Source organism: Homo sapiens, chromosome 14 (genome assembly GCF_000001405.40).
Source record: "Homo sapiens chromosome 14, GRCh38.p14 Primary Assembly".
Taxonomy (NCBI): domain Eukaryota; kingdom Metazoa; phylum Chordata; class Mammalia; order Primates; family Hominidae; genus Homo; species Homo sapiens.
This window is the reverse complement of record NC_000014.9, coordinates 20,522,717-20,537,926: the sequence shown is the minus strand read 5'-3', so window position 1 is coordinate 20,537,926 and position 15,210 is coordinate 20,522,717. Positions and strand designations below refer to the sequence as shown.

General features: G+C 39.2%; 2 pseudogenes, besides 2 other annotated features; both read left to right on the top strand.

The window, feature by feature from the left end:
• Positions 6,592–7,091: an enhancer, noted in NCBI's record as "H3K27ac hESC enhancer chr14:20998995-20999494 (GRCh37/hg19 assembly coordinates)". NCBI's record gives its function as "activates a minimal SCP1, AML or CMV promoter by ChIP-STARR-seq in primed H9 embryonic stem cells {active_cell/tissue: H9 hESC(primed)}" and the evidence as "EXISTENCE:reporter gene assay evidence [ECO:0000049][PMID:30033119]".
• SETP1 (SET pseudogene 1) lies at positions 8,902–9,990 on the top strand (annotated as a pseudogene).
• Positions 10,583–10,793: a silencer, noted in NCBI's record as "fragment chr14:20995293-20995503 (GRCh37/hg19 assembly coordinates)". NCBI's record gives its function as "represses an EF-1alpha promoter that drives an FKBP-Casp9 reporter gene in an ReSE screen in K562 erythroleukemia cells {active_cell/tissue: K562}" and the evidence as "EXISTENCE:reporter gene assay evidence [ECO:0000049][PMID:32094911]".
• On the top strand, positions 12,520–13,838 carry PTCD2P1 (pentatricopeptide repeat domain 2 pseudogene 1; annotated as a pseudogene).
• The last annotated feature ends 1,372 nt before the right edge of the window (positions 13,839–15,210 follow it).

The following is a 15,210-nucleotide window of genomic DNA, read 5'->3' as shown; positions in this document are numbered from 1 at the left end:
CAAACTTCATGGGTTACGTGAGTATTTGATTAGTGATAGTCACCAAAATGTACATGTATGTTCTGTGTACTTTTCTATAACTGCATTATACCTCAGTTTCAATATGTTTAAAATTGTTCTGGAATCAGCCGGGCATGGTGGCTTATGCCTCTAATCCCAGAACTTTGGGAGGCCAAGGCGTGCGGAACACGAGGTCAGGAGTTTGAGACCAATCTGACCAAGATGGTGAAACCCCATCTCTACTAAAAATACAAAAATTAACCGGGCTTGGTGGTGCACGCCTGTAATCCCAGCTACTCAGGAGGCTGAGTCAGGAGAATTGCTTGAACCCGGGAGGCGGAGGTTGCAGTGGGCCGAGATCGTGCCACTGCACTCCAGCCTGGGCGACAGAGCAAGATTCCATCAAAAAAAAAAAAAATTGTTCTGGAATCAGCAAATCTGCATTTTAAAACTTATGCACATTGACAATTTTTTTCCAAAAACCTGCATCAAAACATAGTCTACCAGAATCTCTAAATCCTTCTAACATTATCAGATATATCATATTCCATTCTAGTAGATATAAAATTATATTTGTCTGGTTATTAATGAGGTTAAACATCTCATATGTTTACTAGCAATTTATTTTCTTTTGTGATTTTCCTATTCATGTCTTTTGCATGTCTTTATATATTTATTGACTTTAGGAGCACTTATACAACAAAAATTAATTCTAGTAGATGCTGCAAATATTTATCTTAGTCAGATGCTTCTTTTACAAATTTGTGATATTTTTGTCACCTAGAAGTCTTAAAATTTATATAATAAATTATGAACAATGGTTTGCAATATCCCTTAACATTACATTTTCCAACCTTTTGTGCATCTACTTTTATAATGTTTTTAAAATTCTTTATGTTTTGAATATTTAATTCAGATGAGATATTTTTTAGTACGTGATGTGAGGTAAAACTCCAACATTATTGATTTTTAAAGTATAGCCCAATAGGTCACCATTAGTTTGAAATTCTACTACTGCAGCTTCTGGCATGGCGGAATAAGTTGTTTCATATCGACTTCTTGTTAAAATAATGAAGAGCTGAACACAAATATTTTTTAATCTTTCTTAAGGCATGAGAGAGTACCAAGGTGGTGAGGAATTGTGTAACCACCATTCAGGAGTGGACAGGCTGAGCCTGGTATTTGGGGTCACTTTCCCCCACTTCAAGTCAATGTCAGTTTCAAAAGTGGCAAATGAGAAGCTGACAAGAGCTTTAATAAGAATCATAGGGCTGAGGAAACAAAAATTAAAGTTTAAGACACAAGAATGAGGAGACATCTGATAGTGTCCCAGGCTTTTAATTAGAATGCTGAGAGCTATATCTTAGGAGTCAGAAGGAGCCAGAAAAAGACCTACCATCACTGAGAATAAATCCCAGCCCTGTCGCATGTAGAATTCTGATGAATAAATTCAATTAGGATTGCTAATGGTCCAAGCTCTCCTTCCTGAAAAAAGCAAAAGAAAAATATCACGGAGAGGCCAGGAGCAGTGGCACACACCTGTAATCCCAGTACTTTGGGAGGCCAAGGCAGGTGGATCACCTGAGGTCAGTAATTCGAGATCAGCCTGGCCACATGGTGAAACCCCGTCTCTACAAAAAATACAAAAATTAGCTGGGCGTGGTAGCACGTGCCTGTAATCCCAGCTACTCAGGAAGAGAATCACTTGAACCTGGGAGGTGAAGGTTGCAGTGAGCTGAGATCGCGCCACTGTACTCCAGCCTGGACAACAGTGGGTGGTAATGGTGGTGGGGTGGGGGCTGGGGTAGAAACTTCATGGAGGAGAATAACATCTTTCAGGGCCTCAAATATCTTTACAATTTTATATATGCCACACTCAATATACAATGAAAAATAATCAAAGATACAAGAAGATAAGTCATGACGAAAGCCAAGAACAAGAGACATTGAAAACAAATGATGTCCACGTAATCCAGAAAACAATTATTAGACAAGAATTTTTAAATGACTATGTTGAAATACATGAAAGACCAATGCGGTAGTCTAGTTCTGCTCCTACAAGATGACCTACAAAATGCCCACTCCTGTTATATGTGCCCACATCATCTCCTCCCCTTGAGTGCAGCAAGACCTGTGAATATGATGGGATAGTTACTTCGTGATTACATTATGGTTTATGGAACAGTTGAATTTAAGAAAGGGATATTATCCTTGGTGGGCCTGACCTAATTAGGTGGACTGGCTGCTGAAAATAAATAATTTGAAGTATGGGAGGGATTTGATGTGAGGAGATCCTCCATTGCTGGCTTTAAAGATGGAGGGGACAACATGGCAGGGAACAGCTGATGGCCTCAGGTTGCTGAGAGTGACCCCTGGCCAACAGCCAACTAAAAGACAAGGACCTCAGCCTTATAACCAAAAAGGCTGGATTGTACCAACAACCTGCATGAGCGTGGAAGCAAATTCTTCCCCACAGCCTCCAGATAAGAATGCAACTCAGCTGTTAGATACTGGGTAGACAACCCAGTTGAGCTGCACCCAAAATTCAGACCCACAGAACTGTGGGATAATAAATATATGTTGTTTTAAGCCAATAAGTTTGTGGTAATTTGTTATGCAGTAACAAAATAGCCAATGTAACAAGATTGAGAACTTTGGCAGGCAATAAGAAACAATGCCAAAGAAACAGATGGAATGCCAGAACTAAAAACTACAACTGAAATAAAAAGCTCAATGCATGGGTTTAAAAACAGATAGACACAACTTTAAAAAAGAGAGAGAGATCTGGAAAATTGATTAGAATAAAACAACCAGTAATTAAAAAAGAAAAAAAGCATGAAAAATACTGAGAAAAAAAGTGTAGGTGACATATGGGGCATAAACAACATACATGGACTTGAGGTCTTGGAGAAAAGAGAAGAGTGAATAGGAGAGAAACAGTCTATGAAAAGTTGGCTGAAAAAAGGCTGAAATATTTCTAAACTGTAGAAATATATTAAGCTATAGTTTCAAAAAAAGGCTAAAAACCACACAGAAAGGAAACCACATTTAACAACATCATAGGAAAACTAATAAAAACCAAAGAGATAAATCTTTAAAACAGCCAGAGGGAAAAAAGTATGGAGGGGAAGGTGTATTACTTTTCAAGGAACAGCATTTGCACAACTTCTTCAATAAATGTAAGAAATAAGAAGAAATATGCAAATGTTGTGAAAGATATCAATTACTAAAATAGACACAGGCAGAAACAGAAAATCTGAATAGGTGTGTATCTACTACATAAATTCATAATTTAAAACTTACCAACAAGAAAAATTAGATCCGGATAGCACTACTGGTGAATTTTTTCAAACATTTAAGAGATAAATAAAACCAACTCAACACAAAATCTTTCATAAAATAGAAATGGGAATACTTCCCAACTCATTTTACAAAGCCAGGAGGATATCCCGATACCAAAACCTGACAAACACATTTTTAAAAAAGAAAATTATATGCAAGTAGCCCTCATGAACACAGATGCAAAACTCCTTAATAAAATATTGACAAATAAAATCTAGCAATATATTATTGGAATAATACAGCATAACCAAATATAGTTCACCCAAGGGGCCAGACAGGTGGCTCATGCCTATAATTCCAAAACTTTGGGAAGCCTATGTGGGTGGATCACTTGAGCTTGGGAGTTTGAGATCAGCCTATAGGCCACATAGCAAGGCTCCATCTCTACAACAAATTTAAAAAAAAAAAAATTAGCCAGGCCTAGTGGTGCACACCTATAGTCCTAGCTACTTGGGAGGCTGAGGTAGGAGGATCACTTGAGCCCAGGAGTTCGAGGTTACAGTCAGCTATGATCATGCCACTGCACTCCAGCCTAGGCAATAGAGTGAGACCCTGCCTTTTAAAAGAAAAAAGAGAATTTGTTCAAGAATGCAAGGTAGGTTTAACATATAAAAACCAATCAATATAGTCCACTTTATTAACAGAATAAAAGTGAAAAACCATATGACCATTTCAAACGATACAGAAAAAGACCTTTGTTAAAGAAAGTAGAATAGTGATTGCCAGGGGCTGGGGAAAGGGGGAAATGGGGAGTTATTATTTAATGGGTATGGAGTTTTAGTTTTATAAGATGACAAGAGTTATGGAGATAGATGGTGGTGATAGTTACACATGATAAATGTATCTAATACTGGCTGGGCATGGTGGCTTACACCTGTAATTCCAGCACTTTGAGAGGCCAAGGCAGGTGGCTCACCTGAGGTCAGGAGTTTGAGACCAGCCTGGCCAACATGGTGAAACCCCATCTCTACTAAAAATACAAAAAAAAAAATTAGCCAGTTGTGGTGGAGGGCTCCTGTAATCCCAGCTACGTGGGAGGCTGAGGCAGGAAAATTGCTTGAACCAGGGAGGTGGAGATTGCAGTGAGCCGAGATCGTGCTGTTGCACTCCAGCCTGGGCAACAAGAGCGAAATACAATCTCAAAAAAAAAAATTGTTAAGATGGTAAATGTTATGTGTATATGACCACAATTTTTGAAAATTGAAAAAAGAACCCATTTGTCAAAATGAACACCCGTTTATTCTACAAACGATTATCAAGCTGGGAATGACATCTGATAAAGGACATCTCAATCTGATAAAGGACATCTACAAAAAACCTACAACTAATGCTCTTTTAAGATTGAAATCAAGGTAAAGACATTCACTTTCATCACCTCTATTCAACATTGTATTATAGATCTAGCCAGTACATTATAGCATTAAAAAAACATATAATTTAGAAAATAATTATTTTACAGATGACATAATTATTTATGTAGAAAATCCTCAGAAATCCATCCAAAGTGGAAGATTAATATAAGTAATAAGTGAATTACCTTAATAGTCATGAAATGGCTGTTAGCTGTAACCAAGACAGCATGAGTCTTTGCGTCTAGCTATATAAAAATAATCTTTTGATCACCCTATCCCTTAGTTAGAAGGGAACTTTTTGTGCAAAAGTTCTTTTTAAGTGTTTTCTACATTTCATTGCCCCAAATTGGCTCATGAATTCTTATCCCTAAACCAATTACTGACTATTGTGAGGGATTGTCATGATTGGTTTAGATCAATAAGCAGAGAATGAAAACTGAGAAGTCAGTCAGCAGGCTTTCTACTTCTTTTTATTTTATATCTCTTCCTCATCAAGAATTCAAAGATCTTAGGGCTAAAAAGGAGTCAAAGAATCTCATTCTAGGAATAATTATCATCTATTGAATACTTTATAGCCATTGTTTAGTAGTGCTGAGGTCTGAATGTTGGTGTTGCCCCAAAATTTATATGTCGGAACCTAATACCCAATGTAATAGTATTAAGAGGTGGGGCCTTTAGGAGATAAGTAGTTCATGAGGGCTTTCCCTCATGAATGCATCAGTGCCCTTATAAAAGAATCTTGAAGGAAACTGTTTGCCCCTTCCCCATGTGAGGATACAGATAGATGGCACCATCTTTGAAGCAGAGAGTGAGCGTTCAACAGACACCAAATCTGCCGGCACCTTGATATTGAACTTCCCAGCCTCCAGAAATGTGAACAATGAATTTCTGTTGTTTATAAATTACACAGTCTATTTTGTTATAGCAGCCAGAATAGACTAAGACAGATAGTTTTCTTTCACTATATCATCTAATTTTTAAAGACATTATTACTCCCATTTTATAATAAACTACTGTCAGAGGAGTGAAGTAACTTACTAAAGGTTACACCATAATAATGGCAGAGTTGGAACGAAATATATATGTCTAATTCCACAGCACACTCTTTTCAGTCCATGATCCAAAATCCAAACCATAGAAATTGGTACCACTTAATCACTTCAGAATTCTCACTAACAAATTTTAGAGGCATTTTGAGAAATAATAAAATAAAAGTAATCCAGAAATTGACCATACTTACATATTTCTCTTACTTATTTTTTCTTTTTCACACATTATAGCTTCTTCTTCTTAGTCCAAGCTCAGTCATCACCTCTCTTGCCCTCCCTATATCCCCACACACTTAAGTTAGTTCTCTTTTCTTGATTTCAGATATTTTCCTTTTTTCCCTCAGATTTGTAGAAACCTGAATGATGAGGTAAAAATATTACTATCCTAAATAACTGACAACAGCTTTTCTTAGGAAGTAAAGTAACTCTTTTTGGGAAAATAACATCATATGCTGCTCACCTAGCAGGTAAGATGTTAAGGCCATACATGTCACAGGAAGTTACATAATAAATATGTGCCTTAAATATAGCAGAAATCAAGGAAAATAATTTGTTTTGTTCTAAGGAAGAGGGGACGAAACAGAGGGACTGTGTGTGTGGATATAAAAAAATCACAAGCCAGCAAGAAAGTGTAAGGTTGAGAACTGTACAAGATGAAGGGCCAGTGAACTGAAGATGGTGTGGCCAATTACATTTTAAGAAAAGAGATGTAATCTGGGTAAAATAAAAAGTTTTCTCAACACAAAAACATAAACCCTCATTTACTCTTTAACTTCCAAATCTACTCCTGAAGACTTTACCTGAGTTGGGGTGTGTGTAGCAGAAGGGGACAGGTATAAATAAGAGTTAAGAAAGGAGCTGGGTTTCAGGAATGGGGTCAACATGGGACCTCACATGCAAAAAAAGTATCCAAAAAGCAGAGCGGATCATAAGGATAAAAGCCTCACCAGAAATCTGCAGAAATATTAAAGAAGGGAGTTGGAGTTCTTCCATGTTACAGTTCCAATCATGGCGCCATCTGGTGGCACATCTCACGCACGTTGTAGATACTGGGGGTTTTATCATGATCATCATTTAAGACAAGGTCTCGCTCTGCCATCCAGGCTGGAGTGCAGTGGCACAATCATAGTTCACTGCAGCCTCAACTTCCTGAGCTCAAGTGATCCTCCCGCGTCAGCCTCCCAAGTAGCTGGTACCACAGGCATGAACTACCACACCGACTCATTTCTTTCTTCCCCCTTCCTTCCTTCCTTCCTTTTCTTTCTTTCTCTCTCTTTCTTTCTTTTTCTTTCTTCCTTTCTTTCTTTCTCTTTCTCTCTTTCCCTCCCTCCTTTTCTTTCTTTTCTTTCTTCTTCCTTTCTTCCTTTCTCTCTCTCTTTCCCTCTCTTTCTCTTTCTTTCTTTCCTCTTTTTTTTTTCTCGTAGAGACAGAATCTCCCTATGTTGTCCAGGTTGGTCTCAAACTCCTGGGCTCAAGTGATCCGCTCGTTTTCACCTCCCAAAGTGCTGGGATTACAGGTGTGAGTCACTGCACTGGCCACTTTAAATATTTTTGAGAAATTGATTCATAAAAGAGAAAAGACTGGAGCTACCATAAATTCAGCGCCTACCATGTGCTTAGAATTGTATGTGTGTATATAATTTTAACAACATTGAGCTATCTTTATTTTAAAGAGAAATTTATTCGTCAAAGTCTACAAAATTGGTTTTATTTGTTTGCAAGGTCCATTCTCCACACATACTCGACAGTCTCCATAATTCTGTGAAGACTGTAATTTAAAAACATAAAGTGAAAGAAACATCACAAAGCAGAGAACAGAGGATAAAGCCTTAATAACCTCTAGTTAGTATATTCCGAGTTATTTGGGGAACTATTGTTTTCAAAACAAACAAACAAAAACTTGTAAAAGGAAAGCAAAAAAGAACAAGCACTTGGAAAATAAATATATAAAATAGCAGGAGTGGAAGAATTAGTATTAGGTTCAAAAGATAAAGTCAAAGAAATGACTTCCAAAAGAGGAAAAACAGAAGAAAAGATAATACAGTAGAGCAATCCAAGAGATTCAATATTTGACTAATAGAGTTCCAGGAAGAGAGGAGAGAGGGAAACAGAAATTGGAAATTTACTGAAGTAAATTTCCCATACCCGAAAAGTTGAGTTTCCAAATTAACCCCACCCCCATCCCCAGTGCAGGATACAATGACTCGTACCTAAGCATGTCACTGTGAAGATTGAGAACAGAGGCATAAAAAGATCCTGTAAGCTTTCTAGGAAAAGGGAAGCATCAATTTCAAAGATTCAAAATGGCGTCAGGCTTCTCAACAATAGAACTGGATGATAGATGACTCTGAAGCAATGCATTTTCACAATTCTGTGGAGGAATTGTAACTCTATAATTCCATACTCTGGCAAATTATTAATCAAATCAGAGAATAGAATAAATACATTTTCAGATATGGAAGAACACACAAAATGTACCTCCCAAGCACACTTTCTTATGAATGTACTTCGGGATATGCTCCAAAAAAAATCAGGAATAAACAGAGAAGAGTAGACCAAGGAAAAGGAAACATGAGATCTGGGTAACACTGATTACAGGATTATAGCTGCAGAGCAGATTTATTGAGGCAGAGGCTCAAGGACAAAAATCTCTAGGAAAAAGGCAAGTAGCTAATAGGAAACACAACTTGACTGAGAAGATGGATGAGTTTGAGGATATAAGGCCTGCACAAAGTGTAAGAAAATTAAAAGGTAACAATAGGCCAGGCACGGTGGCTCATGCCTGTAATCCCAGCACTTTGGGATGCTGAGGTGGGCAAATCACGAGGTCAAGAGATTGAGCCCAAACTGGCCAACATGGTGACACCCCGTCTCTACTAAAAACACAAAAATTAGCCGGACATGGTGGCGTGCGCCTGTAGTCCCAGCTACTTGTGGGGCCGAGCAGGAGAATTGCTTGAACCTGGGAAGCAGAGATTGCAGTGAGCCAAGATCGCGCCACTGCCCTCCAGCCTGGCAGCAGAGCAAGACTCCTTCTCAAAAAAAAAAAAAAAAAAAGTTAGCAATAAACTCCAGGAAACACATAATGCTATTTTAGGCTGTATGGTGTTATTGGACTTCCGGAAGACATTGTTTGGATATTTCGAATAATATAGGCCGTTTTCTGCCTGCTTCCTCACAAGTGAGGAGACTTGTGGTCTGGTTCTTGGACTTCCCTAGCAGCATGGCCCCCAAATGCCCGTCTCCACTCCCACCTCAAAAGAAGAAATCAAGACTACCTCCTGCTCTGAGACTGGAGGAGACATCAGTCTCTGTAGGCTTGCCGAAGAAGGGAGAAAAAGAACAGCAAGAAGCAATTGAACATATTGATGAAGTACAAAAAGAAATAGACTTAATGAACAAGCTAGTGAGGAGATTTTGAAAGCAGAACAGAAATAATACAAACTCCTGCAACCATTTTTTCAGAAGACGTCAGAATTGATTGCCAAGATCCCAAATTTTCGGGCAACATTTGTCAACCATCTCCACGTGTCTGCACTGCTTGGGGAGGAGGAGGAAGAGGCACTGCATTATTTGATCAGAGTTGAAATGACAGAATTTGAAAATATTAAATCAGGTTATAGAATAGGTTTTTATTCTGATGAAAATCCTTACTTTGAAAACAAAGTTGTCTCCAAAGAATTTCATCTGAATGAGAGTGGTGATCCATCTGCAAATTCCACTGAAATCAAATGGAAATTTAGAAAAAATTTGACAAAACATTAAAGTCAGATGCAGAGTAAAGCCAGCAGGAAGAGGCAGCATGAGGCACCAGAGAGCTTCTCTACCTGATTTACCCACCATTCTGATGAAGGTGCTGATGAGTTAGGAGAGGTCATCAAAGGTGATATTTGGCCAAACCCATTATAGTACTACTTGGTTCCCAATATGGATGATGGAGAAGAAGAAGGAGAAGAAGATTAGTAGGAGGAAGAATTAGAAAATATTGATGAAGAAGATGAGGGTGAAGGTGAAGAAGATGACAATGGTGATGAAGGGCAGGAAGGAGAGGAGGATGAAGGAGAAGATGACTAATAGAACACTGATGGATTCCAACCTTCCTTTTAAAGAAATTTTCTCCAGTTCCTGGGAGCAAGTTGCAGTCTTTCCCCCGCCCCACCCCGCTTCTTGTGCTCAGTAACCCTGTTCTCGTGGTCCCTTTTCTCTACACCATGGTTTTCAACTTATTTGGGAGGGAAATACCTTGAGCAGAATACAATGGGAAAAGAGCCTCTATCCTCTTTCTATTCTTAATTCATTTTTATCCCTTCCTGTCTGAGCAAAAACTGTATGGAATCAACACCACTGAGCTCTGTGGGGAAAAAAAAAAACCTGCTCCCTTTGCTCTGCTGGAAGCTGGAGGGTGTGAGGGCCCTGTGTGGCAGTGCGGAGAATTCTAGCTTCTTTCCTACTTTCTCTATATATTGAGCTCAGAGAGTACACTGTGCCTGTATGTGAATAAAGACAGTTAGCATTTACCAACATGTATCTGTCTACTGTCTTTTGTTTAAAAAAAGGAAAAAAACAGTTCTAAAAAATGGGGTTTTAGAAGGTCAGCAAAGGGTGGCTTTGACATGTTTGGCCGGGTTAAGTGGGCATTTTGACAACATGGCTTCTCCTTGGGATGTTTGTGATGTTTGACAGATATCCTTGCAGTTTAAGATGACACTTTAAAAATAAATTCTCTCCTAATGATGACCTGAGCCCTGCCACTCAATGGGAGAATCAGCAGAACCTGTAGGATCTTATTTGGAATTGACATTCTCGATTGTAATTTTGTTCCTGTTTATTTTTAAATTTTGTTTTCGTTTCACTGGAAAGAAAAGATGATGCTCAGTTTTAAACGTTAAAAGTGCACAAGTTGCTTTGTTACAATAAGACTAAATATGTACACAAAAAAATTAAAAACTAAAAATAAAATAATATAGGTTGGGCACAGTGGCTCACATCTGTAATCCCAGCACTTTGAGAGGCTGAGCGGGGAGGATCGCTTGAGCGCAGGAGTTTGACCAGTGTGGGCAACATGGCGAAACCATGTCTCCACAGAAAAATACAAAAAATAGCCTGGAGTGGTGGCACATGACTATAGTCCCAGCTACTTGGGAGGATGAGGTGAGAGGATCACTTGAGCTGGGGAAGTAGAGGTTGCAGTGAGCTGAGATCTCACTACTGTACTCCAGCCTGGATGACAGAGTGAAACCCTGTCTCAAAAATAAATAAAGAAAGAAAGAATATAAATATTTTGTATCAATTTTCAGCTTTTACAGTCAATGAACTTAAGTCTTAATTTTGGTTACAGAATTAAATATTAATATTAACAATCAAGGCAATGTAAAAGTAAAGTACAGTTGACTGAAGCTGGGACACAGACGAAAAGAGAGTGAATGAAAAGAAGGATACTAATATTCTTATTTTACAAAATAGGAACTCAGAATACCCAGTGCCTATCTGAAAAAGATACTAAAATGATTAGCATAGTATTAAGTTAGAAAGGTAAACAAGAGAACTGAAATATAGCTATATTAGGAAGAGGGGAGGGAGGTGGAGTTGAGCTAAACCTTAATATGTTGTAAAGTCAATAGACCTTTGATGGATTAGTGAGTACAGGACACCTTTCCTAGTAGAGGACACCATTAGAGGGAATTCGTTTGAGGGAAAACAGCCTGCAAATTATTTATTTATTTATTTGAGATGGAGTCTTCCTCTGTCACCCAAGCTGGAGTGCAGTGGCACGATCTCAGCTCACTGCAACCTCTGCCTCCCAGGTTCAAGGAATTCTCCTGCCTCAGCTCCCAAGTAGCTGGGATTACAGGCGCCCACCACCATGCCCAGGTAATTTTTGTATTTTTAGTAGAGACAGGGTGTCACCATGTTGGCCAGGCTGGTCTTGAACTCCTGACCTCATGATACACCTGCCTCAGCCTCCCAAAGTGCTGGATTATAGGCATGAGCTACCATGCCCAGCCCAAATTACTTACGATTGGAAATCACCTTAATGTGACAAAAGAGGGAATACTTAAATAAATCACATTACATTAATAGAATAAAATATATCGAGTAAAACTTTTTAATGACTACTCAACAATATGGAAAATTCTATTATATAATAGAATTTTCAAAAGATATAAGTCCTCTTTCCCTAACCTTCCCTTTCTAAACCATTTAGTCCTAAAGCCACCAGGTGGGGCAGAACAAGGTCATAGACATTGATGAGGAGGGGCCATCTGGCACAGGAATAAGAACTCAGAACCCAAGAGAGATGAAAAGGTGTCCCTGGTGAGGGATGTCTGAGGGGGCTGAGAGGGGAACACAGCCTGCAGAATCACAGCCTGAGCAAGTGGAGGAGATGTCCACTCAGAGGGGTTGCCTAGTGTGAGATATCCAGGCCCAAATGGTGGACACCCATGTAGAGGGGCAGCCCTGGCACAGAGTGTCAGAGCCAGAGTGGGCAAAGGGCATCCATATGGGAGGGGGAATGGCGGCAGCAAGGTGAGATTGGTTACATACATGAAGATGCATGCAATAAGCAACTATATTAAAGAATATGGGAGAAGAAATTTATAAGTCAAAAAGTTATAAATAAGAAAATTAAGATATAAATATGGGAAGAGAAAACCTAATATGAGCTTGTGGGGTTGGATTTGAATTGAGGTATTGGTATAAACGTATGGTTTTCAATATAGTTACATAAAGAAAATACATGTGAGAACTTACATGTTACATAAAGAAAATACATGTGCTGCACTTAGGCCCTCGAATCGAGTTCTCCTGCAGGTTGCTGCAGATTTCGGTGTATCCTGGGGTGGGAGCCTCCAGCTTTGCCTGTGGCTGCTGTCCTTTCAGAGCTAACAGATACCTACTTACAGATAGTATTGTGAAATTAAAAGAATTTCAGCACAAGAAGGTGGCTGTTGCATGTAATCTTTCCTAAAGAAACCTATTTTAGGAATTTGGAAGAGAAACTGACAAGCTCATCTTGAAGGGGGAGTTGATAACCTTACTTTATTTTTGTGGGTCCCAGGACCATGTGGAGCTGGCTACAAATGTCATTTACAGGTACCATGCAGGGAACAGAAATATCACTTTGGGGGAGTATAGGTTTGGACCACTTTTCATGAGTCTGTTATGGGTTGGATCTTGAGGGGCTCATGAAAGACCAGCATTTATGAGATTCCTTCTCAGATTCCACATCATTCAATATTTTGATGGATATGTTATTTATCAAAGGCAAATATAAAAGTGCTTTGGAAGTATTGATAGAGATGAAAAATCAAGCTGTGAAATTCACCAAATATCCTATGTTCTTAGTTTTGCAGTTTGCAACAAACTGAAGAGCGCTGAGTCTTTCAAAATCTGTTCTGCATTAACAGAAGAAGCCCCACTCAAAGGAGAGGTTCCCTCCAGGAGAGCATCCCGTTTCTTTGTGGCGTTAGCTCTGAATCAGAACCAAGTGGCAAAAGCTATGTCCATTTTTTTCTCAAACCATGAATCCAGAAAGCATAGCCTGCACTAACTTAACTATTATAATCCATATCCAGTCAAATATGTTGGAAACCCTGATAGAGACACTAAAAAAATGCTGCAGAAGGAAATTTATTAAAATTTGTGAAAAGACATGCATTCTCAGAGGAAGTGCTGGCAAAAGTGAAGGAAAAGTGAAGGATATGCCTGCCCTTGTGGCCAGATTTAATGAGATCTATGGAAAACTGCACATCAGTGGCCAGGTCACCACTTGTACTTTGGGTACTCTGCTCTGCCACACCCCCAGGGACAGGAAATCCCATATGTTGCTATTAAACAAGAGGATGATGAGCCATTGGACCTTCCAGCCACTCAACCGGTCCTTTTTGGCTGAGTAATAATCCTCATTTCATCCACCTGTGGATCTGAAGGGCCTGCTTCTAGTGAGTTGTTGCCTTCCCTAAGAAGCAGGCATTGCACTTCAGTAGACGCTGTGCTGACACTTAGCCTCCTCTTGAAATTCCCAAGTTCACTGAATGGTGGCATGTTGATCTCTGAGAAGTTATGTTGCACTACTGTGAAGGTCTACATGCAAGCATGGTTCCCTCAGAAAGGAGCTTCCCTTGTACACTGCTGAGGATACCTGAAGGAACATGGTCAGTCTCCAGTCCAGCTTCCAGCACCAGAATGGAATCCAGCAAGCACCACAGGAATGAATTTCACTACAAGTGTGGTCACTCTGATTTTCAAGGGAGTAGTTACTTGTAAATTACATCCTTGCTGAATTCAAGAGGTCTGAAACCCTATTCTATCATGTTAGAAAATAGCCCAGGATTTCCTCACTGATCTGCCATCATATATTTCTATGACTTGAGCCCTCATTTTTCCATATGCAAAACAATAATGCCTATGCGTATTTGCATATAGATTTGAAATCTTCATGCAAAGTTCAGTAGGATCAGATTTTCTCAAAAATAAGAGAAATAAAAAAGGTTTGTAAGCAAAAATTAAAAAAACGAAAGAAAGAAAAAAGAGAAAATACATGCAAATACATGTGAGTGTGAGTGTGATTGGCTATTTGCCATATTCCCACCTATGTCCACTGAGACAGCCTTAGAGCTCTCTCACCCCAACAGCAATGAGCACCTACCTAGCACCCAGATCCAGGTTTCAAAATACTGTTCGTCACTAAACACAACCAGGTCATCTTAGAAAAATGACTGGTTCCAGGGGAAGGAAAATATAAAATGAGCTTGGACCATCTTGTAGTTTCTAAAAGCAAGGAACTGCCTAAATAATGATGGGGAGGCTGGGCATGGTGGCTCATGCCTGTAATCTCAGAACTTTGGGAGGCCGAGGCAGGAGGACCCCTTGAGCCCAGGAGTTCAGAGACCGGCCTGTGCAACATAGTGAGACACTATCTCTACAAAAAATGAAAAAGAAAGAAAGAAGAAAGAAAGAGAAAGAAAGAAAGGAAGGAAGGAAGAAAGAAAGAAAGAAAGAAAGAAAGAAAGAAAGAAAGAAAGAAAGAAAGAAAGAAAGAAAGAAAGAAAAGAACAAACATTAGCTGGGCATGGTCATGCACACCTGTAGTCTCAGCTACTCAGGAGGTTGAGGTAGGAGCATTGCTTGAGCCCAGGAGTTTGAAAGCAGTGAGCCATGATCACACCCCTGCACTCCAGCTTGGACAACAGAGCAAAGAAAAGAAGAAGAAGAGAGAAAGAAGAAGAAAAAGAGGAGGAAGAGGAAGAAGAAGAGGAAGAAGAAGAAGAAGAAGAAGAGGAGGAGGAGGAGGAGGAGAAAGAATAGGGATACATCAAAAACACACAGAAGCCCTATTAAAATAGCTTCCACTGGCTAATCTGGGACAACTTATAACTCATTGAATAAAACAAGAAACCATGAATCCATACTGATATAAATAAATGAATGCATTTAAAATATAAGGATTTAAATACCTACACAGT